This window comes from Homo sapiens, chromosome 10 (assembly GCF_000001405.40).
Source record: "Homo sapiens chromosome 10, GRCh38.p14 Primary Assembly".
NCBI lineage: Eukaryota > Metazoa > Chordata > Mammalia > Primates > Hominidae > Homo > Homo sapiens.
This window is the reverse complement of record NC_000010.11, coordinates 128359661-128368302: the sequence shown is the minus strand read 5'-3', so window position 1 is coordinate 128368302 and position 8642 is coordinate 128359661.

The window sequence follows — 8642 nt, the reverse complement described above, 5'->3', positions numbered from 1 at the left end:
ACTTGGGAAACTGAGGCAGGAGAATCACTTGAACACAGGAGATGGAGGTTGCAGTGAGCCGAGATCATGCCACTGCACTCCAGCATGGGAGACAGAGCGAGACTCAGTCTCAAAAAAATTAATTAATAAATTAATTAAATAAATAAATAAATAAAATTTAAAAAATAAAAAAATGAAAAAAACTCTTCCTAAAAGGTAGATAATGATCAGATTTTACTTTCAAACAAATTCCCACTGCTTGTGCCAACCTTCCAGCACGTGGGCACTTGGCCCAGGAGAGCAAGGGTTGCTGATGTCAAATTTTCAACACTGTCTGCCAATGACTTGGGCCCTTTACCCAGGACTGAGAGTGAATGGCCCTTCCTGCCACCCCTTGCTGCCAACTGTGCCCTGGGAGTGTGCCGTGGGGTCTTTACTCCCAGCTGAGTCCTTGAACCTGTAAGAAGATGGGAACCACAGCCCCCAGCACCTCAAAGTCCAGGACAGCCAGCTGCCTCCAGCAACCCAAAGCAATGGTATCTTTACCTCGTTTTTGCCCATCAAGGTGGATGTTTTGAGCACGTATCCCCCTGGTATAAACAGAATACTTAATTTTCTTTTCTAATCATCAGGTCTGAGCCAGAGGCGGGCGCCTTTCCAAGCACTCCGTCACTGAAAGATTTTGAAGACAAGGCTTGAGGCGTTCAAGAGCTTTTCAAAATTAAGTCTCTTCATTTTCCTTCCATCATCCGTATCTGGGGTTTTCTGTCAGTGTTGATCCATGGGAAACTGGGAAATTGTTGGAGCAGATGAAACACCCCAAACACTCATCCATTCTCCCGAAGAAAGCAGGGGTTAGGGGGATGGCACAGGGCTTGTGTAATCTTCTGAGTGGCCATCTGTAGAAACTCCAGAGATAAATCTATTTTTTTAATTCATTTCATATAGTGAGTTGGAAATATTGAATATTCAAGGAGAGGGAACACCGATCGTAATAATGAACCTCGGGATGGATGCTGTGTCCGAGTCCCTGTGACAGCCACACACATTTTTCCTCCCGTCCACACCGGCCCTGCCCTCCCCCACGCATCTCCTGCCCTGTGTCTGGCCCTCCAGCTGCCCCTCATTCGTTACCCCGTAAAAGTCCCCTTAATATCTTTTATCATCTCACATCACTGGCCCGGTAACGACACCCTCAGGAGCAACCCGTCCACTCATGTGTGTTTTTAACATTGCCAGTGTCTTCTGCAATTTCGTGCAGCTTGAGATGAGCCTTGCGTGCTGGGAGAAGGGACACCCGCAGACTGCCCAGCCGTGGGCTTCCAGCCCTGCCTGGCTTTCTGTCCCTTTGTCATCTGAGCATGTCTGAACCGACCCTGGCCATGCTCTGGGCACACCCCCGGCTGCTACAGGCCGTGGGGGTCAATGCCCACCCTGGCTCTCTGTGGCTTGTGCTGGACAAGCCTGCAACGTCCTGAACTCTCACATTTTCCAAGCTGGGTCTTTCCAAGCATGGTTTCCTCCTGAAAAGTACCATGCAACGTTCATCCTGGGAAGAACACGAAAGCAAAACCTAAATTTCCAGCAGCAGTTTCCAGTCATTTCCATAGATACCCTGCCAAGGGCCTTTCGCTTTGTTTTGTTTTAAGCCAGTTTTGCTTAAGGTGACAGAAATGCTGGGGCTCCCCTGGGATGGTGACGCTAAGTGATTTTGCACCTTTGCTGTGACTCCATGAGTATCTTGTCAGCTAGTTCGTCTGGAGCATTTAACGTGAGTCGCTCATGATGCGCTCTGACACCCGTCACCTGAGGGGAGCCAGCACCCACTTATCTCCTGCTCTATAATTTTCCTTAAGTGCTGCCTTTCAGGCCACGGGGCAGGTGGCCTCGGTGTCTCTGAAGCAATTCTCTGCCCGGGTACTTCTCATTTCCTCTAGTTCTGTTTTTTTTCTTTTTTTTTTTTTCTGGCCAAAAAAAAAAAAAAAATCAGCAGGGTTAAGTGCCCCCTTGGCTCTTCAAGATCGATCTTTCTGCATCAAAAGCTCCAGCCTCCAACAGACCTCCCACCACCCAGCCTGCCCGGCCTGGTCCGCAGGGGCTGCCCACCCCACGGCTTTGTTTCAGGGAAGTGGACATGGAGGGCCACCTCCACTGTGGCCCTTGGTAAAGGAGAGGGCAGGGAGGACCAAGCCACAGCCTCTGCTGGAAAGTTAGAAGACAGAGAAGAGAGCACCGTCTGCAGGAAGGACACAGATGGAGACCATGAACCCTTATTCCTGCCAGCTTCTACACAACCATTACTGAAAATAGAAAGAAAAAATGAATGAATGGACAGCTTCTTCTACAGAAATGCTGCCAGGAGCCAGGTATTCACGTACAAGAAAAATAAACAAATGTAAGGAGAAATGAAAGAAAGAAAAAAAAAACGTGTTGTGATGAAGCGGATAGCTTGGAAACTGCATGATTCTCCCTCTCCCTTGGCCATATCCTCCCTCCAAGAACTTGCTGAACTTGCTATTTTAAAAGGGGTGAACAGGCAGGAAAAGAACGACAGAACCCAGATATAGAGAAGCACATAAAGCATGCAAGATCACAAGCACATAAAACAAATCAAAATAAATCTGTCATATTACTATATTTACTTCTTTGTCCCTCTTCTGCCGGCTGGCTGCCTTGTAAATCTCCTGTGGAGGAAGGGAAGGTGGCGAGCGCGCAGATAACATATCCTGAGATTTCAAACATAAATATGGAGTTGTAAGGGAAGGCAAGCTGCCTATAATGCGTCCGCTTCTTCGATAAGTCAATACATCCGCAGTGCATAAGGCACAGGCGAGCTTGACATTTGAATCATTTATGGCTTGGGGGGAAATGGCAGCAGCCTTATTTTTTACTGGAAAAGAACCCACATGTCTTTATAAGCAGTGAGAGTGTCATTGATGGCGCTCGGGAGCTTTTCCATTTCAGCCATAAACCATGTGTTTGGGAGCCAGACCATTTCCACCGAGGAGTTATTATTCGACAGAGTTCCAACTGGAGGGCGCCCACCAGCCCAGCAAAGAGCGCTGTGGTGGCCTCTCTGCCCATGGCACCCAGCAGATTTCAGCCCAGCACAGCCATCAGAAGATTTAATGGCATGTGCACCGTCCAATACCTTTTCTCCCATCCGCTGGTGAAGTCTTGGCAAGGCAGGGACATCACTGAGGCACCTGGGAGGTGTACACCTTACATCCAATTTTCATAGCTTGTGGTTTCAACAAAATCCACTCCGCACTGATTTCCTTCAAGGTTTCTTATATGGATTTGATTATTCCAGCCAGCCATAAAAGATTGAAATACACACAGGCTCTGGATCTAAATTGCATATTAGAGATGTGGCCAACCTCCCTGAATTGCAGCACAAAACCTCTTAACACCCACAGGCACGAGCTATTCTCTCCCCATACCCAGGACCTCAGCCATACTTACAACCTGGCTTCCCCAGACATTATTGAGTGCTTGGCCTGAGCCCAGAGGTGAAACAAGACCCCGCCTTCAGAAAGCAAACTTTTCCTCCATGCAGCCCCTGGCTGAAATGTCTGAAACTGTAGCAAAGCCAATGCAATTGCTTTCCATGTCAGGGTTGGTGAGGGCACAGGAGGTGGAAGGGAGGTGACAGCCGAGGTGGGGCCACATCCCTCCTGCCCTGCACTATTTCCCGAAGTCAGAACAAGGTCGGGCCCCAGCTTCTTGATGCCCTAAGCCATCTCTGACTTGAGATACAAAGGATGTGGAAGTGAATCAAAAACACCAGAGTGAAAATCACAAAGACCATCAACCTACTCTCTCACCTGGACTTGTTTTCTCCTCCCAACTCGGTTCCCTCAGCCCCTCACTTTCCCCAGTCCCCACCCAACTCTACCAGCAATGAGTTCACTTCTCAGTCATCTGTCTCAAGTTCCTGGTACCTCACTCCTCACCATGCCCAGATGCAGTCACCCAGTCTATGAGTTTTCTTCCAGATGTCTTAGGAAGTCATCTCCTCTCACCCTCCTTTGTCCCCACCCTCAGATTCTCACCCTAAGCTTCCGCTCACCTCAGCCACCGTTCACCAAAAGCACTTCTACCTTTTTCCACGCCCCTTCTCTTCCCATAACAGCAGCACCTTCTCTGTTGCATGGTTCGCTGGACACTTGTTCCCACTCTCCTGTCTCTGAGTGGCACTGGGACCCAGCAGTACAGCACCTTCCAAGTGTTCCTTCTCCCTTGGCATCAAGGCAGACCCCTCCTGGTAGTACCTCTCTGGTTGCTCCACCTTGGTCTCCTCCTAACAAGACCAACCCTTCAAGGCCTCACCTCTCCAAATGCAATCCAGGGCTTCAGCTGGGAGTTGTGAGAAATGCAGAATCTCAGGTCCCACTGCAGACCCACAAACCCAAGTCTGCATTTTAGTGGATCCTCTAAATGTTGAATTCTAAGGAGCTCTGTCTTAGAGCGGTGCCTTCCACTTTTAGTCGATTGCATAATTCACCTGGGGAGTGGGGTTTAGGAGGCTCCCCCTCTTCTGAGGAAGCCCATGATTCCCTCCACCTGGTGTGACGATTACTATTTCTTATTTCTACTCTCTCTGCGTAGATCACCCAGGATGAGCTCTGAAGGCCTCATCAGCCCTTCTGCTGATGCCTCTCTGGCCTGTATCTCCAGCTCAGTCAGATTTCTCTTCTAAATTCTATGGACCCACCTGTGTTAGTGTCCTGGTGCTGCCATCACAGATGACCACAAAAGGCGGGGCTCAAAGCAACAGAAATGTATAGTCTCACAGTCCCACAGACCAGAAGTCAGAAGTGAAGTGTTGGCAAGGTCAGTCCCTTCTCTCCAGCTTCTGGTTGCTGCTGGAAACCCTGGGCATCCCCCAGCTTCCAACTGCATCACTGCAACCTGCCTCTGTGCTTTCCCTGTGGCTCGGTGTTGGAATCTTCCTCTCCTTCCTCTTACAAAGACACTGTCACTGGATTATGGCCCACCAGTCACTGGGTCAGGGACGCACCTTAATCCAGTATGATCTCATCTTGACTTGACTGCATCTACAAAGACTCTGTTTCCAAATAAGGTTACCATCACTAGGAGCAGGGGTTAGAATTCGAACACATACTTCGTGGGGTAAAAAGTCAAACCCCCACACCACCCACCTCCCTGCCAGCTGCACTGGGCAGTCCGGGAGACCCTCACATGTGGTATGTCCAGACTGAACCCTGGGATCCCTTTCTCACACCTGCTCTGGTTTCCATCCTCCCATCCCAGCAAATGGACCAACATCTGGGAGCCCTTTTTGATGCCTCCCTCGCTGCAGCCCAACCACCACGTCCCACCACATCTCTCACTCTCTGTTCTTGCTGCCTCTGCTGAGTTAGATCCCCATCATCTCCTGCCTGTGTGGCTGCATTAACTTTGCCTCCAATCTCCTCACCTGCAGGCCAGCTTCCTCCAGTCCACTGCAGAGTCCTCTTCATAAGCACAAATCGGAGCTTGGCACCTCCCAAACACTGTCTTCAATGATTCTGAGTTGAAAATGAGACCAGTGGAGTTTCCTAAGCCCTGCCCACCCCATCTGCTCCAGATCTACTGTGAATGGCCCCACCTCCTCTTCCTCTAGTCCCCAGCCACAGCCTGGCACCGCCTTCTCAGGACTCACTCTCTTGTCTGCCAGGTTTCAGCTGAAGCATCGCCTCCTCCAGGAATCTGTCTGAGACCCCGCAGCAGCTTGGGTATGGCTCTCCTTTCTTTCAAGGTGCCAGGTATTCCCTCCCAACACAGGGCTTGGCCTGCAGTATTGGAGTTGCCTGTTTACTGGTCCCAGCATCCCGTGATGATGCAAGCTGCCAATGATGGGAAGTGGCTATCAATCACCACGGCCGTGCCTCCACTGCACCAGGCATGGATGGGGTGCTCAGGAGATGTTTGTAAACTAAATTGAATAGAGGGAAACTGAGGCCTCTCTCCTTGTTCAGAGTCAGGGCTCAGACTCAAGACTTTCCAGGACGATGAGCCTTCTCAGGGGATATGGACTTCCTGACAGTTAATTGTCCTGTAAACTGTTTTCTGAAGCTTGTAGCTTGGGAGATGTGCTTAACTATCCTGTTCATCATTTGCCCATCAACCCCAGTAGAAAGGCAATAAAGGACCATCACAATAAAATACACTGAAAATCTGGATTATGTTAACCTTTGTTTTGTTATTTTTTCATGAAGCAAATTATTGGATCTGATCTTTGGCCTTCTGAAGTCTGAAAAGGTAAACCAGTCAGTATCTCATAGATTCCTCTTCAAATTATTTAAGAGAAAGGAGAGAACGTGTTTTCGGATTGGCTCTACCCCTAAGGAGCCCTTTACCTAATTAATTCCCATAAAACCACTGCGTGTTAGGTGAAATGAGTTAAAAGTCAGACCTAATTCACTAGAAACCAGGGGACCACATCATGAAAATCACCCTCCCAAATGGAATCAAATCCAGGTCTCCACAGAGAGCTTCGTTCCTGAATGGGGCATGGAGGGATAATTCCTCCACATCCGCCAGTGGACCTGCCGAGGCACCGTCACAGCCACTGTGCTGATCTGTCTTCACATCTCTCTCCTCCCCTGGGCCACTGCCCTGGTGTCCCTACAGCCTCACACTATGCCTGGGCCCAGAACAGAGGCCCCAAAACTCACTGCATGGGTGAACATAGTAGCAGGATAGGCTGTAGTCATCCACTGATGAAGCCAGTAGACTCCTCCATTTTAGAAGTTGCCCTGTAAGCCGGCACCTCTGTTCTACACCTCTGCAGGTTTTTCGATGTGCATACCGAAGCCAATTACCCTTGGAACTGAGAGAAAGGAGACCTGTCCCTTCCCATCTTGCGATGCTCCTGTTCCCAGTATTAGGAATCCAAGTGGGATCACATCTAGATAGCAAACTTTTCTCTTTATAACCAGCCACAAACAGATGATTCTAGTAATAAGTGCAGCCTACAACTCATAAAATGCAAAGCTGAGCATCGCACACACCCACAAAGATGTGTATAAATGAGTTGTGAGTAGCAAAGCAAGCACAAGACAGCAATACAGGAAGGAAAAGCAGATTTGAAAGATGGAGAGAAATTCTTTAAAGTGCAGAGTTGCAATGTGGTTCTCCAGACTGTGGGTTCCAGAAGGAAAGAGAACCACCTGAAGTCCAACAGGGAAGTGGCCTGGCCCTGCCATGCAAGGCCTCCTTGAGATGACAGAACTCCACATTTCTCCAGTGGAGACAGAGGACGCTGGCATGCACAACTCTGGCCTGCAGCAGGCCCACCATGCTCTGAGGCCTATCTCTAGGCCCTTCCTGGGGCTGTCCAAACCCCCAATCCCTGCAAGGAGCATATAGCAGAAGCAGGGAAGTAAGAGGAATGCCACACCAAGGATAGCCTTGAACCGTTGATGATGATCAGCAATTGTAGTAACAAACACCTTGTGGTGTCCCCACCATGACAATGGTATTGCAACGTACCATGGTGACATGATGCCATGGGCCAGGGTGGCTGCACCCCAGAGTCTGGCACCTGTTATAGCAGCTGGCAAAGAGCAGGATGGAAAATGGAATAGCAAGGCACTACTCAGGGAAAGGAAATGCCCCATCCCCACAGTAACAGGAAACAAACAAGAAAAGCAACCAGCACATCTTCCACATCCCCTGACTCTTCATTTTAGAATTTTCACCAGATGCAACCAAAAGGTCTGGCCTTATTGCATACATGGATTTGTACTGCTCAGACCTTCCTTCAAGAAAGGTCTCTCTGTCCTACTGAAGGAAGGAGGTCTCCAGTTATTAACCTCTGCCCATCTACCTCAGCTTTGGAGCCAAGGTCAAGTTCTCTTTGGTCTGCAGCCAGGGACTGAGTAATGAGGTGGTAGCTAGAGTCAGTCTTTTCCTGGGGTGGCCCCCAGTTAGGGCCTGAGTGAGGCAGTCATTGCAGGGCAGGGCATTTCCGTCCAACATGGGCCTCCTTTCGCAGCATCTTTGCTTCGGCTCAGGTGACGTGCATGTTGTTCTGGCATGCATGTTGCTGACTGCATCACAATCCAACAGCTTCATGCCCAGTTCTGCAGTTCTGCTTGGCCCCATCACAGGTGTTTCTTCCTGACAAGACTTTTATACTCCTAACTCCATCTCAGTGTCTCTTTCACTGGGAACAAGTTTCACTGCAATATCCTGCTCCCCCTATCTATGTCTAATGTTCACTCTTCTGTCTTCATTCGACTTAGCAAACTAAGAAACGATGAGCTGGGCTAATCCTGACCAAACTACTGTATGACACGGTGATTACAGAGAAAATCATCATGAAGCACACATCATGCCTCAAAGCTTAACCCATTAAAGTAGTGACAATGGTTTTATCAACTCTTACCTTCTTGGGATGCTAGCATAGGTAGACACAGTACTCTAGTTACCATCCAAGGTAGCATTTTCCAAATCAGCTCCACCAAGGGATAGTAAGAAGAGGTCCTTGAATGAAGAATTCAGTACAGAAATTCAATGGGAAAATACTGTGCTTTTGACTTTTTTAGAGATTCGTGATGTGCATACAATAGAATGTTACTGAGAAATCCTGCAGTTAAGAAGTCTTTTTTGGCCTTAATACATCATTTTCCAAAACAACTGTCTATGGAAAC